The 19640-nt window shown below is 37.4% G+C and overlaps 1 long non-coding RNA gene across 1 annotated transcript; it reads left to right on the top strand.

Annotated features, from left to right (window-relative positions):
* Positions 1 to 380: 380 nt before the first annotated feature.
* LOC124900779 (uncharacterized) lies at positions 381 to 17179 on the top strand. Its single transcript, XR_007058269.1, has 2 exons — positions 381 to 455; positions 16953 to 17179. It is a non-coding gene; the product is annotated as an uncharacterized LOC124900779 (long non-coding RNA).
* The last annotated feature ends 2461 nt before the right edge of the window (positions 17180 to 19640 follow it).

Raw genomic sequence — 19640 nt, 5'->3', positions numbered from 1 at the left:
ATAAGTGGAACAAGCTTAAGAGATCTAATGTGCTACAGGGTGAATATAGTTAATAATGACATATTGTGTTCCTGAAAAATGCTAAGAGTGGACGTTGTGTTTTCACCACAAAATTGATAACTATGTGATGTAACGCATTTATTAATTAGCTAGATTTGACCATTCTATGATCTACATATAGTTCAAAATATCATGTTATACCCAATGAATACATATAGTTTCATGACAATTTTTAACAAACAAATAAATTTGTAAAAAGTTTATGGATTCAGTTTATGAAATAACCTAGGAAACAAGATATTTCTGAAAGAAAATAAATAAAAAGAAAAAGAAACTGAAAACGTCTTTTTTCTTTGCTCTCTATTTTTATATATTGTTAGATACAAGATGTATACAGAAAATTACATTAAATACCTGTCTCCAGCCTGCTTCATGTATTTCTGCAATGACTAAAGGTGAGATAAATTAGCACTGCCACTCCCACCATATACACCCAGGAAATCCAAACCCTACTCAGTGCCTCTCTTAAATGTTTCCTTTTCTTTAACAATCTCATTAAAATTTATAATGTGGCTTAACTTTTATACCTAAAAGAGACACTATCCTAATATATAGTAATGGCTGTGTGAAATATTCATCACAAAACATTTTAAAATTATAGTTATCTGAGGCTTACATTTTATTATAGTATTTCCTTGCATTCTACATTCACATCTTTGATGTTCCCATCAAGTCCAAGAAGGGAACACATTATATTGACAACATGTGTCATACTACTGTTTTATGAGCAAGGTTGGATTCCTTTTTTGAAACATCATTATCATTTCCTGACTTATTCCAATTCAATTTTAGGTTTAGAGGGATGACATGGTCTCATGGAGGGATAATACCACTGATTATCCACTTCTATAATGGACATATTTCCCATTTTTGGCTCTTTAGGTTTCAAACCGTCCCTTCCCCTTGACACGCTGATCACCCTTGGAGTATGAATGGGTGGAAATGATCACCTCTCACTATTGCAGAAGCCAGATCCTCCACCTCACTGTCCTGTTGAAGATTAGGGGACTTTTTTTTTTTTTTTTTTTTTTTTGTGAAGACAGGGTCTCACTCTGTCACTCAGGCTGGAGTGCAGTGTATGATCTCGGTTCACTGCAACTTCTGACTCCTGGGTTCAAGCGATTCTCTTTCCTCAGCCTCCTGAGTAGCTGGGATTACAGGAGTGCACCACCACGCCCAGCTCATTTTTTTGTATTTTTAGTAGAGACAGGTTTTCACCATGTTCGCCAGGCTCGTCTTAAACTCCTGACCTCAAATGATCCACCCCCTTCAGCCTCTCAAAGATTAGGAGACTTTTATTCCAAAAGATGGGACGCAAATCTTGGAAATAGTTAGAGGTCAGATGCATGACCGCTATAAGTCACACACAAAACTTCTTGTTCTTGTTCTGTAATATACTTGCTACGGTTTCTGTTGTCTGACCCTTCAGACCTTACAGAATCCTTTTCTGTATACTCGCAGGGCTCTCACACATTATATGATCTCTAATATCTTTTAAATAAAATCACTTTTTAAATTTTTAAAATAAGATTGCCAGAGTTAGTTTTTATTTCCTACAACTAAGGCATGTGTGCTTATTCAGTGTGTTTTGGAAGCCACACTGAACTTTTTTAAAAAAGTAGATGCCCATGCAACTACTTTTACCTTCAGGAGTATAATGTGGACATCTTCCTTCTTTCTAAGGACTGACTAGGTTAAAAATGCTATTTAGAGTGAGTTGTTTTGGTTTACAAGCTACTGAAGACCACTTAGAAAGTATTTTGCTATAGATATTACTTTTATTGGAAATTAGCCATCTGTTCTAGTACACTCATTTAAAAATTTATTCAATAAATATTTATCAAGCTTCTATATGCATAAGACATCATGTTTAGAACTGGGAACATAGTGATCAACTACACTGTTAGCTTCCAAAGGCATCCTGGCTTTGTTGAAATAAGAATTTATTGAATACATAGTATGCATATTAAAAATGCTTTAGGCATTGGATACACAAAGAAAAAGAACACATGATCACTGTCCTTGAGTTTAGGATATAGTGCAAAACATCAATTCAATTAAATAATTGATTATAGAATACTGTTAAGATTGCTATGATGTTATTAAAACATCAGGAAAATTACTCAAAAGGTGATGCTCATTAAACAAAATTTTGAAGCTAGTCAAGGCAAGAATGAAAATTATTATAGGGCAAAGCAGTATGTATGGGGCATAAAGAAGTAAAAGGTGCTCATGAGTAAAACTAAGTTGTATACGAGCAAAGGCCATGGTGGTGGCAATTGAGGATAAGGCAGAAGAGGTCTTTTATCTTGTGATTTCTTCCCTTAACCCATTTATGTCTGAGGTTGCAATTTTTTGAATTTTTGCAATTAGACCTTGGTGATGACCTTGAGCACTAGGATATAAGTAATTCCCACATGCTTAGCGTTCCAATAATGGAACACTAGGCATAAGTGGGTGGTGGTCATCCACACCCAGGGTAAATCTTCATCAATAGACTCTACAAAATCTCATAGGATTTTTTTTTTCAGAGTCTGACTCTGTTCCCCAGGGTGGAGTTCAGTGTGCAACTCACTACATCCTCAAGGTCCCAGGCTGCTGTGATCCTCCCGCCTCAGCCTCCCAAGTAGCTGGGACCACAGGATCACGCCACCAGACCTAGCTAATTTTTTTGACTTTTTTATACAGTCTCTCGCCATGTTACCCAGGCTGATCTTGAACTCCTGGGCTCAAGCAATCAGAATGCCTTGGCCTGCAGATTTCTTTTTATAGTTAAAATTATCATACATATAAGAATTAGTGGTATATCCTTTGAAAAACTGGCATTTACTACATATTGAGTGATTCCAAAAGCCTTGTAACATTTTAAATATCCACCAGCAAAATATTGGAATTTTCTTTACCCCAGACGCTCATAGCAATAAGTATTAATACCCTCATCCAGATTTTGGAGTCTGATGTGTTAAAAATCATATTTTACGGATGTTTTGATTTGCATTGCTGTGGCTGAATTTGAGCATCCTGTAATATGATTTCCTTTTTTTTTTTACCATTTGTAAATTTTCTACTTATATCCTTTGCTTTTTTTGAGAACAGAGAGATGAGTTGTAGTTTATGTCAATTTATATGAGCTCTTTGTTTATTATAGAATGTTAAGCTTTTCTCATCATGTGCAAACATTTTTTCATATTTATAATATAAACTATTTTATGTTACCTTTTGAAATGCAAAGCATTTTTTAAATGGCATGTGGTTAAACATGTTTTCTTTTCTTTATAGTTTCTAGATTTTTTAGTCTTGGCTAAACTGTTCTTTATTTCAACTCCAGCTTGAATAGGAAGTTTCCATTTTAATTCTCTTTATGATGGTCAGTTGTATCAGCATCATTTATTAACTAGTCAACTATTTTCCTTTTAAATTGAACTCTCATATTTTTGACATGTTATTTTTCATATTTAATTTTGTAACTTCTACTATATTACACTGATCGCATAAAGTTATTAGAATGAGTTCAGTAAAATGGCCTTAGAGAATGTTGTTTCAGTATCTGCTACAGCAAGTATTTCTTCTCAGTTCTCCTTTTTTTAAATAGTTTTTCAAAACCAATTTGTGGGTATTTATTTATCCATATAAATTAAATAAATTGCTATTTAATTCCAAAAGGGGAAACTTATTGTGATTATAAATCGAGATGATATTGGAAATAATCTAGTGGTTTCTTGCTTTATAAGGTTCTGAGAAAGGTTAGTTAAATTTTCAAACTATGACAGTGGATTTGTTTATTTCTCCTTAATTCTGTCATGTTTCTTCATATTTCTTAAAGCTGTGTTATCAGGTATAATCACGTTGGAATTGATATAGCTTTCTGGTAAATTTAGCCTTTTGTCATTATATAGGCATGTTTTTTATCTGCAGCAATGCCTTTTGCCTCAAAGTTTATTTTGTACTACATTCAGGTAACTCAGCTTTTCTGGTTTTACTTGCCTGGCCATATTTTTAATCATTTTATTTTGAATCTTTTAAAATTCCTAATTTTTACACCTCTTTATAGTAACAGCATGTAGGTGGGTTTTGATTTTTATCCATGTGCCTTTTAACTGGAGCATTTAGTCTAATCACATATTAATATCATCATTACTAATATAGTTGGATTTATTTTGACCATCTTATTTTATGCTTTTTTGTCTCAGTTTTTTACTTGTAATTTTTCTTCATCTTAAGTTGGATATATTGTTTTAATTTATTTCACTTTTTCCCCAGACTTTTATAGAATTCACTCTACAAACATGCATACTCCTCTGTATTTGTACCCTCCTCACAAACAATACACCACTACCCACTGTCTGGCCTATATTTTAATATACTTTAGTTGGTTCTTGTATTTTTTTTCTGTCCTAAGACAGTATTATTACTGTGCTCTGAAGTCAACATTTTTACCTTATTCTTCTTCTTCAAAGATAGAGTAGACTCAGTCCAATCAATTAACTCTCTTCTGGGGTTGATCCAACTTCTAGAACCAATTTTTGTGTCAGGCATCTTTTGCTGTATAGGAAACTACTCTGAAACTTAGTGCTTAAAACAAAAGTCATTATTTCTCATAAGTTGATGGGTTGACTTTACTCAGCTTGGATATGTGAAATTACTGAAACTTTTCTTCATGCGTTTATCCTCCAAGAGGGTAGACAAGGCTTCTTTACTTGGCAGCAGCATTCCAAGAAGGCAAGCAAAACTCATATCAAGACCACTGCTAATGTCTCAGTTACCAATATCCCATTGACCCAAACAAGTCACAAGGCCAAGCACAGACTCAATATGGGCAGGATATACACAAAGGTGTTGTGCAGAAAAGGGTTAACTCATAGGCCTGGATCTCAAAAACCTATACATTTCCAAGAAATAGTTTTCCTCAGGATTGGTTTTTGGAAAAAGAGCTCTGAGCCCTTGGAATATTCTGCCTGATATGAGTGTTTTTGTATGCCTGAGGCCTTACACTATAGCATACCACTTTGATGAGATAATTTATGCTAAAAATGTCATTTATGGTGAATGTCATTAAGGCTTTTGTATGCCTGAGGTAATGGGCCATCCTGTACCAATTTTATCATATAGTTCATGCTAACAAATGTAATTTATGGTGAATGCCTGTTTCTGCTTTGGGAGGCTGGAATCAGTGCTGAGCTCAGTTGCATAGGCATGCAGTGACTCCCAATAAATTCTGGATTCAAGGCTCAGAGTCATTACCCTGGCTGACAAAACTTCCTATGTGTTGCCACTCACACGTTGTTTATGAAAGAAATAAGCATGACCACACCACTTCACTGGGAGAGGACATCTCGAAGTTTGTCCATGGTATTCTTTAGACATTTCCTCATGCATCTTTTTTTCTTTGCTTATTTGAATTTATATCCTCTCACAGTAATAAGCTATGACCATGAGTATAACTACTTATTAAAGTCTTGTCAGTTCTTTTAAGAAATCATTGAAACCAAGGTTGGTCTTGGGGACTTCTAAACAGCTGTGAATACCAAAAGACAAGCTTCACTGGGACCACTGATGTAGGAATCTACTGCAGGGGGTGAGACAGACAGAGACCTTAAACACATGGCTCCCAGGCATCACTTAAAGTTCAAAGAGATATTCTCTATTCATATATTGAAAGTCTTAATATTGTTAATATATCAGATTTTCCTGGCTTGACCTTATGGTTTCAATGCAATTGCAATCAAAATCATAGCAAGCTGCTTGGTAGATTTCAACAAACTGATTCTGAAGTTTGTATGAAGGGCAAAAAGCCCTAGAATAGCCACAACACAATCTTGAAGAAGAAGAAAGTTGGAGGAATCACACCACCTAATTTCAAATCTTACTAAAAACTATAGTAATCAAGACAGTATGATATTGGTAAAAGAATATACATAAAGATTGACAGAACAGAAGAGACAGCCCAGGAATAGTCAATTGACAAAGATAGTCAATTGTGTTTTTAAAAGAATGCAAAGGAATTCAAGGGAGAAATAATAACCTTTTTAACAAATGATACTAGAACAATTGGATGTTCAATGCAAAAATATAAACTAGGTACACCTTACAACTTACACAAAAATGAAAAGAAACCATAGATATAAATATAAAATGCAAAATTATAAAATTTCTAATAAAACAGAAAATGTATAAGAAATTTTATTCAAAATATACAAAATTATATATATGTTACAAAATACACAAAGAAGCTTTAAATTCTACAATAAAACATAATAATCTTAAAATGAACAGAATACCTGAAAAGATATGATACAGTTTGGCTGTGTCCCCACCCAAATCTCATCTTAAATTCCCATGTGTTGTGGGAGAGACCCATTGGGAGGTAATTGAATCACGGAGGCAGGTCTTTCCTGTGCTTTTCCTGTGATAATGAATAAGTCTCATGAGATCCGAGGGTTATAAAAAGAGGAGTTTCCCTGCATAAGTGCTCTTCTCTTTGCTTGCCGCCACCCACGTAAGATGTGACCTGTTCCTTTTTGCCTTCCACCATGATTGTGAGACTTCCCCAGCCATGTGGAACTGTAAGTCCAATTAATCCTCTTTCTTTTGTAAATTGCCCAGTCTTGGGTATGTCTTTATTAGCAGCATGACAATGGACTAATACAGTAAATTGGTACCAGTAGGGTGGGACGCTGCTGAAAAGAGACCCAAACATGTAGAAAAGACTTTGCAACTGGTTAACAGACAGATGTTGGAATAGTTTGGAGGGCTCAGAAGAAGACAGGAAAATATGGAAAAGGTTGGAACTTCCTAAGGACTTGCTGAATGGCTTTGAGCAAAAGCCTGATAGCAATATAGACAATAAGGTCCAAATGAGGTGGTCCCAGGTGGAGATGAGGAACATGTTGGGAACTGGAACAAAGGTGAATCTTGTTATGTTTTAGCAAAGAGACTGGTGGCATTTTGCCCTTTACTTAGAGATTTGTGGAACTTTGAACTTGAGAGAGATGATTTAGGGTATTTCTTGAAAGAAATTTCTAAACAGCAAAGCATTCAAGATGTGACTTGGATGCTGTTAAAGGTATTCAGTTTTATAAGGGGAACAGAGCATAAAAGTTTGAAAAAATTGCAGCCTGACAGTGTGATAGAAAAGAAAAACCCATTTTCTGAGGAGAAATTCAAGCGGGCTGCAGAAACTTGTATAAGCAATAAGGAGTCAAATGTTAGTCCCCAAGACAGTAGTGAAAATGTCTCCAGGCCATGTCAGAGATTCTTCACAGCAGCTCCTCCCATCACAGACCCTGAAGCCTAGGAGGAAAAAGTGGTTTCATGGGCCAGGCCCAGGTTCGCTGTGCTATGTGCAGCCCAGAGATTTGGTGCCCTGTGTCCCAGCTGCTCCATCCATGGCTGAAAGGGGCCAACGTAGAGCTCAGTCCATGGCTTCAGAGGGTGCAAACCTCAAGCCTTGGCAGCTTCCACATGGTGTTGAGCCTGTGGGTGCACAGAAGTCAAGGACTGAAGTTTGAGAACCTCTGCCTTGATTTCAGAGGATGTATGGACATGCCTGGATGTCCAGGCGGAAGTATATGCAGGGACAGGGCCCTCTTGGAGAAACTCTGCTAGGGCAGTGCAGATGGGAACTGTGGGGTCAGAGCCCTGACAGAGTCCCTATTGGGACACTGCCTAGTGAAGCTGTGAGAAGAGGGCCACCATCCTCCAGACCATCCAGTGACAGCTTGCCCCGTGCTCCTGGAAAAGCCACAGACACTCAATGCTGGTCTGTGAAAAAAGTCAAGAGGGAGGCTGCACCCTGCAAAGCCACAGGGGTGGAGCTGCTGAAGACCATGGGAACCCATCTCTTGCATCAAAGTGACCTGGATGTGAGACATTGAGTCAAAAGAGATCATTTCGGAGCTTTAAGATTTGACTGCCCCTCAGGATTTTGGACTTGCAAGAGGACTGTAGCCCCTTTGTTTTGGCCAAATTCTCCCATTTGGAATGGATTTACCTAATGCCTGTTCACTCATTGTATCCAGGAAGTAACTAACCTGCTTTTGATTTTAGACTCACAGGAGAAAGGGACTTGCCTCATCTTGAATGAGACTTTGGACTGTGGGGTTTTGAGTTAATGCTGAAATAAGTTAAGACTTTGAGGGACTTTTGGGAAGGCATGATTCATTTTAAAACGTGAGGATATGAGATTTTGGAGGGGCTGGGGCAGAATGATATGGTTTGGCTGGGTCCCCACCCAAATCTCATCTTGAAATTCTACAAGTTATGAGAGAGACCTGGTGGAAGGAAATTGAAACATGGAGGCAGGTCTTTCCCATGCTGTTCTTGTGATAGTGAATAAGTCTCATGACATCTGATGGTTATAAAAAGGGGAGTTTCGCTGCACAAGCACTCCTCTCTTTGCCTGCTGCCATCTATGTAAGATGTAACTTGCTCCTCCTTGCCTTCCACCATGATTATGAGGCTTCCCCAGCAACGTGGAACTGTAAGTCCAGTTAAACCTCCTATCTTGTGAATTGCCCAGTCTTGGGTATGTCTTTATCAGCAGCATGAAAATGGACTAATACAAGATACTACTACACCTAAGAGCACATACATATGTCAAATAATCATACTGAAAAATGTTCAACATCTTTCAACTTTCAGGAGACAAAAATTTAAAAAATAATAATATACCATTATAAACCTATTATTTTACTTGTATTTTTATTTTACTTTAAGGTCTGGTATACATGTGCAGAATGTGCAGGTTTGTTACATACGTATACCTCTGCCATGGTGGTTTGCTGCACCCATCAACCCATCATCTAGGTTTTAAGCTCCTCATGCATTAGGTATTTGTCCTAATGCTCTCCCTCCCTTTGCCCCTGACCCTCTGACAGGCCCTGATGTGTGATGTTTCTTTCCCTATGTCCATGACTTCTCGTTATTCAACTCCCACGTATGAGTGAGAATATGCAGTGTTTGGTTTTCTGTTCCTGTGTTAGTTTGCAGAGAATGATGGTTTCCAGTTTCATCCATGTCCCTGCAAAGGACATGAATTCATTCTTTTTTATGGCTGCATAGTATTACATGGTGTATTATGTGCCCATTTTCCTTATCCAATCTATCACTGATGGGCACTTGTGTTGGTTCCAAATCTTTGTTATTGTAAATAGAGCTGTAATAAACATATGTGTGGCATGTGTCTTTATAGTAGAATGACTTATAATCCTTTAGATATATACCCAGTAATGGGATTGCTGGGTCAAATGGTATTTCTGGTTCTAGATCCTTGAAGAATCACCACACTGTCTTCCACAATGGTTGAATTAATTTACACTCCCTCAACAGTGTAAAAGCAATCCTATTTCTCCATAGCCTCACCAGCATATGTTGTTACCTGACTTTTTAATGATTGCCATTCTAACTGGCATGAGATGGTATCTCATTATGGTTTTGATTTGCATTTCTCTAGTGATCAGTGATGATAAGCTTTTTTTTCATATGTTTGTTGGTCACAAAATTTGTCTTCTTTTGAGAAGTTCATATCCTTTGCCTACTTTTTGATGGGGTTGTTTGGTTTTTTCTTGTGAATTTGTTTAAGTTCCTTGTAAATTCTGGATATTAGACCTTTGTTAGTTGGATAGATTCCAAAAATCTTCTCCCATTCTGTAGATTGCCTGTTCACTCTGATGATAGTTTCTTTTGCTTTGCAGGAGCTTGTTAGTTTAATTAGATCCCATTTGTCAAATCTGGTTTTTGTTGCAACTGATTTTGGTGTTTTAGTCATGAAGTCTTTGTCCATGCCTATGTCCTGAATGGCATTGCCTGGGTTTTCTTCTACAGTTTTTATGGTTTTATGTTTAAGTCTTTAATCCATCTTTAGTTAATTTTTGTATAAGGTGTAAGGAAGGGATCCAGTTTCTGTTTTCTGCATATGGCTAGTCAGTTTTTCTAGTACCATTTATTAAATAGGGTATTCTTTCCCCACTGCTTTTTTTTTTTTGTCAAGTTTGTTGAAGATCAGATGGCTGTAGACGTGTGGTGTTATTTCTGAGGCCTCTCTTCTGTTCCATTGATCTATATATCAGTCTTGGTACCAGTACCATGCTGTTTTGGTTACTGTAGCCTTGTAGTGTAGTTTGAAGACAGGTAGCATGATGCCTCCAGCTTTGTTCTTTTTGCTTAGGATTGTCTTGGCTATACAGGCTCATTTTGGTCCCATATGAAATTTAAAGTAGTTTTTTTCTAATTCTGTGAAGAAAATCAGTGGTAGCTTGATGAGAATAGCATTGAATCTATAAATTACTTTGGGCAATATGGCCATTTTCACAATATTGATTCTTCCTATCCATGAGCATGAAATGTTTTCCCATTTGTTTGTGTCCTCTCTTATTTCCTTGAGCAGTGGTTTGTAGTTCTCCTTGAAGAGGTCCTTCATGTCCCTTGTAAGTGTATTCCTAGGTATGTTCTTCCCTTTGTAGCAACTGTGAATGGGAGTTCACTCATGATTTGGCTCTCTGCTTGTCTATTTTTGGTGTATAGAAATGCTATGATTTTTGCACATTTATTTTGTACCCTGAGATTTTGCTGAAGTTGCTTATGAGCTTAAGGAGTTTTTGGGCTGAGACAATGTGGTTTTCTAAATACACAATCATGTCATCTTCAAACAGAGACAATTTGACTTCTTCTCTTCCTATTCAAATACCCTTTATTTCTTTCTTTTGCCTGATAGCCTTGGCCAGAACTTCCAATACTATGTTGAATAGGAGTGGTGAGAGTGGGGATCCTTGTCTTGTGCCAGTTTTCAAAGGGAATGTTTCCAGCTTTTGCCCATTCAGTATGATATTGGTTATGGGTTTGTCATAAATAGCTCCTATTATTTTGAGATATGTTGCATCCATACCTAGTTTGTTTAGAGTTTTCAGCATGAAGGGGTGTTGAAATTATTGAAGGCCTTCTCTGCATGTATTGAGATAATCGTGTGGTTTTTGTCATTGGTTCTGTTTATGTAATGGATTACATTTATTGATTTGCATATATTGAACCAGCCTTGCATTCAGGGATGAAGCCAAACTGATCGTGGTGGATAAGCTTTTTGATGTGCTGTTGGATTTGGTTTGCTAGCATTTTACTGAGGATTTTCGCATCGGTATTCATCAGGGAATATTGGCCTGAAAGTTTCTTGTTTTGTTGTGCCTCTACCAGGTTTTGGTATCAGGATGATGCTGTCCTCATGAAATGAGTTAGAGGTGAATCCCTCTTTTTTTATTTTTTGGACTAGTTTCAGAAGGAATGGTAGCAGCTCGTCTTTGTACCTCTGGGAGAATTCGGCTGTGAATCTTTCTGGTCCTCGGCTTTTTTTGGTTGGTAGGTTATTAATTACTGCCTCAATTTCAGAACTTGTTATTGGTCTATTCAGGGATTTGACTTCTTCCTGGTTTAGTCTTGGGGGAGTATATATGTCCTGGAATTTATCCATGTCTTCTAGATTTTCCAGTTTATTTGCATAGAAGTGTTTATAGTATGCTCTGATGATAGTTTGTATTTCTGAGAAATTAGTGGTGATATGACCTTTATCATTTTTTATTTTGTCCATTTGACTCTTCTCTCTTTTCTTCTTTATTAGCCTGGCTAGCAGTCTATTTTGTTAATCTTTTCAGAAAACCAGCTCCTGGATTCATTGATTTTTGGAAGGGTTTTTCATGTCTCTATCTCCTTCAGTTCTGCTCTGATCTTAGTTATTTCTTGTCTTCCACTAGCTTTTGAATTTGTTTGCTGTTGTTTCTCTAGTTCTTTTAATTGTGATGTTAAAGTGTCGATTTAGATATTTCTCAATTTCCGATGTGGGCATTTAGTGCTATACATTTCCCTCTTAACACTGCTTTAGCTGTGTCCCAGAGATTCTGGTACATTGTGACTTTTTTCTCATTGGTTTCAAAGAACTTATTTATTTCTGCCTTAATTTTGTTATTTACCCAGTAGTCACTCAGGAGCAGGTTGTTCAGTTTCCATGTAGTTTTATGGTTTTGAGCGAGTTTCTTAATCCTGAGTTCTAATTTGACTGCCTGTGGTCTGAGAGACTGTTTGATATGTTTTCCATTCTTTTGCATTTGCTGAGTAGTGTTTTACTTCCAATTACGTGGTTGATTTTAGAATAAGTGCTATGTGGTGCTGAGAAGAATATATATTCTGTCGATTTGGGGTGGAGAGTTCTGTAGTTGTCTGTTAGGTCTGTTTGATCCGGAGCTGAGTTCACGTCCTGAATATCCTTGTTAATTTTCTCATTGATCTGTCTAATTTTGACAGTGGGGTGCTAACGTCTCCCACTATTATTGTGTGGGACTCTAAGTCTCTTTGTAGGTCTCTGAGAACTTGCTTTATGAATCAGGGTGCTCCTGTATTGAGTGCTATATTTAGGATATTTAGCTTTTCTTGTTGCATTGATCCCTTTGCCATTATGTAATACCCTTCTTTGTCTTCTTTTATATTTGTTGGTTTAAAGTCTGTTTTATCAGAGACTAGGATTGCAAACCCTGCTTTTTTTTTTCCTTTCAATTTGCTTGGTGAGTATTCCTCCATCCCTTTATTTTGAGCCTATGTGTCTCTTTACACCTGAGATGGGTCTCCTAAATACAGCACAACAATGGGTCTTGACTCTTTATCCAATTTGCCAGTCTGTGTCTTTTAATTGGGGCATTCAGCCCATTTACATTTAAGTTTAATATTGTTATATGTGAATTTGATCCTGTCTTCATGATGCTAGCTGGTTATTTTGCACATTAGTTGATGCAGTTCCTTCACAGTATCATTGGTCTTTATATTTTGGTATGTTTTTTGCAGTGGCTGGTACCAGTTTTTCCTTTCCATATTAGGTGCTTCCTTCAGGAGCTCTTGTAAGGCAGGCCTGGTGGTGAAAATCCCTCATAATTTACTTGTCTGTAAAGGATTTTATTCCTCCTTCACTTATGAAGTTTAGTTTGGGTGGATATGCAATTCTGGGTTGAAAATTCTTTTCTTTAAGAATGTTGAATATTGGCCCCCTTCTCTTCTGGCTTGTAGGGTTTCTGTAGAGAGATTTGCTGTTTGTCTGAAGGGCTTCCCTTTGTAGGTAATCTGACCTTTCTCTCTGGCTGCCGTTAACATTTTTTCCTTTGTTTCAACCTTGGAGAATCTGACGATTATGTGTCTTGGGGTTGCTCTTCTCGAGGAGTGTCTTAGCGGTGTCCTCTGTATTTCCTGAATTTGAATGTTGGCCTATTTTGCTAGGTTGGGGAAGTTCTCCTGGATAATATCCTGAAGTGTGTTTACCAGCTTGGTTCCATTCTCCCCACCACTTTCAGGTACACCAGTCAATCACAGATTTGGTCTTTTCACATAGTCCCATATTTCTTGGAGGCTTTGTTCATTCTTTTCATTTTTCTTCTCTAATTTTGTCTTCACGCCTTATTTCGTTAAGTTGATCTTCAATCTCTGATATCATTTCTTCCACTTGATCGATTCAGTTATTGATACTTGTGTATGCTTCACAAAGTTCTCGTACTGTGTTTTTCAGCTCCATTAGGTCATTTATGTCCTCCTCTAAACTGGTTATCCTAGTTAGCAATTCCTCTAACCTTTTTTCAAGGTTCTTAGCTTCCTTGCATTGGGTTAGAACATGCTCTTTTAGCTCAGAGGAGTTTGTTATTACCCACCTTCTGAAGCCTTCTTCTGTCAATTTGTCAAACTCATTCTCTGTCCAGTTTTGTGCCCTTGCTGGAGAGGAGTTGTGATCATTTGGATGTGAAGAGGCATTCTGGTTTTTGGAATTTTCAGCATTTTTGCACTGGTTTTTCCTCATCTTCATGGATTTATCTACGTTTGATCCTTGGTGCCGATAGCCTTTGGATGGGTTTTGTGTATGGGTGTCTGTTTTGTTGATGTTGATGTTATTCCTTTCTGTTTGTTAGTTTTTCTTCTAGCCGTCAGACCCCTCATCTGCAGGTCTGCTGTAGTTTGCTGGAGGTCCACTCTAGACCCTGTTTGCATGGGTATCACCAGCAGAGGCTGCAGAACAGCAAATATTGCTGCCTACTCCTTCCTCTGGAAGCTTCATCCCAGAGGGGCACCGGCCTGATGCCAGCCGGAGCTCTCCTGTATGCAGTGTCTGTCAACCTCTGTTGGGAGGTCTCTCCAAGTCAGGAGGCATGGGGGTCAGGGACCCACCTGAAGAGGCCGTTTATCCCTTAGCAGAGCTTGAGCACTGTGCTGGGTGATCTGCTGCTCTCTTCAGAGCCAGCAGGCAGGAATGTTTAAGTCCAGCGAAGCTGAACCCACAGCCGCCCCTTCCCCCAGGTGCTCTGTCCCAGGGAGATGGGAATTTTTTCTATAAGACCAGTGAGGAGGAATCTAGACAGGTAGTCTGGCCACAGCCGCTTTGCCATGCACAGTGAGTTCTGTCCAGTCTGAACTTCCTGGCGTCCTCAACACTCTCAGGGGAAAACCACCTACTCAAGCCTCAATAATGGTGCATGCCTCTCCCCTCACCAAGCTTGATCATCCCAGGTTGACTTCAGACTGCTGTGCTGGCAGCAATAATTTCAAGCCAGTGGTTCTTAGCTTGCTGGGCTCCATGGGAGTGGGACTCACTGAGCAAGACCACTTTGCTCCCTGGCTTCTACCCCTTTCCAGGGGAGTGAACGGTTCTGTCTTGCTGGGGTTTCAGGCCCCAATTGGGTACACACACACACACAAAAAAAAAACTCCTACAGCTAGCTCAGTGTGTGCCTAAATAGCCGCCCAGTTTTGTGCTTGAAATCCAGGGCCCTGGTGGTGTAGGCATACAAGGGGATCTCCTGGTCTGCAGGTTGCAAAAACCGTGGAAAAAGCATAGTATCTGGGCTGGATAGTACTGTCCCTTAGGGCTTCCCTTGGCTAGGGGAGGGAGTTCCTTGATCCCTTGTACTTCCTGGGTGAGGCGACGCCCTATCCTGCTTCTGCTCGTGCTCTGTGGGCTGCACCCACTGTCTAACCAGTCCCAAAGAGATGAACTGGAAATGTTAGAAATGCAAAAATCACCTGCCTTCTGTGTTGGTCTCACTGGGAGCTGCAGACCAGAGCTGTTCCTATTTGGCCATCTTGCCAGATCTCCCTAGAATTCTTAAATCATTCTGAAAATATAAAATGCTAACATGTTTACATTATAAACCAGATTTTATCTAGATTATTTCCCGAAGCAAGTTTCTCAAGAGATAAAGTTAAATGCATAAGCAATCTAGGAAATACTATATAATATATTCTCCTATTTGAGATCTACCTAGTAAATATTCTGAAAAATCAAGCAATAAAGAAACGTGTTTAGGCCAGGTGCAGTGGCTAATGCCTGTAATCCTAGCACTTCGGGAGGCCAAGTCAGGTGGATCACTTGAGTTCAGGAGTTGGAGACCAGCCTGGCCAGTGTGGCAAAACCCTGTCTCTACTAAAAATACAAAAAATTAGCTGAGTTTGGTGGTGCACATCTGTAATCCCAGCTACTTGGGAGGCTGAGGCATGAGAATCACTTGAACCTGGGAGGCAGAGTTTGCAGTGAGCGGAGATCGTGTCACTGCATTCCAGCCTGGGTGACAGAGCAAGACTCCCTCTCAAAAAAGAAACCTATTGAATTTTTTAAGCTTATGTTTTCCAATCTTATTGAAACAGAACTCTTTTTTTTTATTAAGAGACACTTTTCAAAGAAGTATCTCTTCTTTGACACTTTCAGAGTGTCTATTAATATCCTCTGGAACACATTTTGGGAAAGGTTGTTAAAATATGTATTGTTTTCCCTTTTTAAATATACCTAGTTTTTATTTTGGTTCTTAATATACCTACAGACCTATTGCTTAAAATTGTTTTAAAATTAGCATATTTGAGTTCTAATCTTTGTTTCACTATTTAGATCTACTTCTGTGATCTTGGGAAAATAACATAAAATCTCTTAAGTGTCTGTTTCCTCATCTGTGAAATGGAACAATAACAGTGCCCAACTCACTGGATTGTTACAAGGATAAAATAAAATTATGTATGTAGAGCAGGGCATTTGTCACACAGTAAGTTTCCCATACATATAAGTTTTTTCTTTCATCATGATCATCATCACCATCTCATTCCTGCTTTCACTTTTTTCACTCATCAATTCTAATGTTAGCTCAATAATAAAGAGGTAACTATGAGAGGGACCCCAATGAGAAAGCCAAACTCAAGGTCCCTAGACTCTCAGAAAAACAAAAAAAAAAACAAAACCAAAAAGCAACAAAAGCTTTCTCTTCAGATGATAATCTTAAAGAATTTGGTGTTATTTTTAATGAAAGAAAATAGTATTTGCTTCTAAAATTTTAGAATTGTATTCTGATTTTTTGTAAAAGAAAATGTACATAGGAGAAAAGTAATTATTTAATATGATAATATTTAATACAATAATTATCTGGGTCAGGTGCAGTGGCTCATGCCTGTAATCCCAGCACTTTGGGAGGCTGAAGAGGGCGGATAACCTGAAGTCAGGAGTTCAAGATCAGCCTGGCTAACATGGTGAAACCCCATCTCTACCAAAAATACAAAAATTAGTCAGGTGTGCTGGCAGGCACCTGTAATTCCAGCTACTTGGAAGGCTGAGGCAGGAGAATCACTGGAACCTGGGAGGTGGAGGCTGCAGTGAGCCGAGATTATACCACTGCACTCCAGCCTGGGCAACAGAGTGAGACTCTGTCTAAAAAAAAAAAAAAAATTATCTGCAGCACACTTCATGCCATGCCTTCCTTACATTACATTTACTTATAATAGACTATGACCCTCCTAAGGTCAAGATGTCTGTATAACTAAAAAATATTTACAACTCAATTGCAGTTACTCTACAAATGTAGTAACATTTGAATTGTTTCTGTGAATCACTGATCTTTTAGATGCATGTTCAGTTTTGGAGGAATCTTGGGCAACCTTCAGAAAAGAAGAGCGGCATTGAATTAAATGGACTATAAAAGGAAATCTTTCAGCTGAAGTATTCTGACAGCAGCATATTCTTGCCAACCAGGTCGTTCCAAATGTGTATCTGACCATTATTTTAAATTAGAAGATATACCACTGTCAAACCATATCAGCCAAGAATAAAAAGTGACATAATAATGTTAAAGGAAAAACCACTGACAATTTTTTCAGTAGTTCTCATCCAGTACCATAATGCAATAGAATGTCATAAGTAATTTGTTTCTAATAACACTAAAAGCTTCAAAATTCAAGAGATAATTTACTTTACTATAAAACATTGTCTTAGCATGATTCAAGGTTACTCTTATACATCACCTTTCCTTGGTTGCATTCAATTTGCTTTCTTTAATGAGGAAAGTAATAGGGTTGACAATATAGGTACTGCCCTGGAGAACTGGCCTCAACCCCAGTTTACAAATACATCAGTCAGATGTATTCTATGCCATGATAAAGAGAACATAAAAACCCCTGGACTATAGAATGATTCATACACACTCTGATGCTTTTAGATTCCAAATGAAGACAACAATTAATAGAAGTAAAGAGGATGTTGAAAAATTCAAAAGCCATTTTCTGTTTATCTTCATCTTCTATTTCATAGTTCATAAAATAATTATACCCCATATGATTATGCTACAATAACACCAATTAATTGGACAATGGAAGCAATAATTCCAAGTATGAACCATTCAAGATAATTGATAACATACTCTGTTCTGAAATCAGGTGTATAAAACCTTGTTGTTAAGTACACTGTAGCTTAAGTTTTGGCAAATCAAATATTAACTGTATATAATAACTCGATATTTCAGGAGTTTCCAATTACTCTTTTTTGTTTGTCATTTATAAAAGGAGAGATAGGGCTAATATGATTATATAAAATATTCAGTTCACATTTAAAAGAAAATAACTGCACAACACTTCAAAGTAGCTATGGAAATACTTATTAAATGGTCATATAAATTCTAAACAATAACTTGCATTCCCAAAATACCAAACAATTAAAAACAGAAAGGGGACTGGCTGTCCTAATGGAAAATATTCTTTCTGATATTTTGTTAAGTTTGGTTTTGCATTTTTAAAAGAATGAACAGAGATACCTTCTAGGAATCTGATGTGTTCTTCAGTCTGAATTACCATACAGGCATTATTTTCTGCCACTACCCATGGATAAAAAGCAACTTTAAAACTTAATTTAGAGACTCCTCTGTCCCCTCCTCTTCCCCTTCCCCCTATGAGTTATTTACTCCAGACGAAGATTATTTTCTGCTCAAATGGAACACTTTTCAATTAAATAAATATTAATTTATATAAGGCTACAGTTTCTATGTTCAACTGTGGGACATCTTTAAAACATAAATCATTGCAAAATTACATATTTCAAATTTAATGTAAACAAAAGTGATCTAAGTGTTGTGTTATTTCTACTTTTTAATTCCTATTAACTAGAAATATAAATATTTCATCCAAACAATTGTATCTTTAATTGTATCAAGATACCCACTTTTTACTATCATATCTTTCATTGTGGCTTGATTTAAACATTGTTTTATTATTGTATGTTGCTGCTCACATCTCTGACCAGGGTAGCACAAAATATAAGTCATCACTTCAAATGTCCCCAGCTGCTCTTTTGTATTTTGATAGGTCCAATCATTCTTAACAAGAATGCTTGATAGCTTTGGAAACCTCAGCAATACAGTACCACATTCTTGACTTTTTTTGTATGTTATTATTTTATTCTACAGCATAACAGGTACTTCATTTCTGTAGATTAAATCAAAAGATGAAAATTTCAAGCTTTCAACTCTTTCTTGTTTAGGTTAATCTTCCAAACTCTTTATAAAGCTCATAGTTTACAATTCTCCTGAGCTTATGAGTATGCACACACATATGTACCTGTACATGAGCTATTAGATAAAAGAGAATTTTTTAACAACAAAAAAAAGCTGTTGAATTATAGAGTTGAAAGATGGACAGACAGCAGGACATAATACTCAAAGCCACAGTTTTAGGCATTATAACTAATGAGAAATCCTATTTAAAAAAATATTTTGAGTAATAATGTTTTCTTTTTAATAAATTTAAAATGTAACATTTATTATTCCCTTAAAATAATGTCTTGCCTTAAATGGGTTTCAAAATGTGAAAGCTTTCAGTTAGTATAAAACATTGGAATCAATAATAATAGTGGTTATTGTCGTTATTGTTTTATTTTATATGTATTTGTTTTCTGTTGAAAATAAATTTTGATTTTTTTTTTTTTTTTTGAAATGGAGTTTTGCTCTTGTTGCCCAGGCTGGAGTGCAGTGGCGCAATCTCGGCTCACTGCAACCTCTGCCTCCTGGGTTCAAGTGATTCTCCTGCCTCAGCCTCCCACGTAGCTGGGATTACAAGCATGAGCCACCACACCCAGCTAATTTTGTATTTTTAGTAGAAACGGGGTTTCTCCATGTTGGTCAGGCTGGTCTCAAACTCCCAATCTTGGGTGAGATGCCTGCCTCAGTCTCCCAAAGTGCTGGGATTACAGGCGTGAGCCACCGCTCCTGGCCTAAATGTTGATTTTTTTAAAAGGTAGCATAGGGATGATGCAGAAGACGCATATT

Source organism: Homo sapiens, chromosome 4, assembly GCF_000001405.40.
Source record: "Homo sapiens chromosome 4, GRCh38.p14 Primary Assembly".
NCBI classification, from domain to species: domain Eukaryota; kingdom Metazoa; phylum Chordata; class Mammalia; order Primates; family Hominidae; genus Homo; species Homo sapiens.
This window is presented reverse-complemented; position numbering and strand designations above follow the sequence as displayed.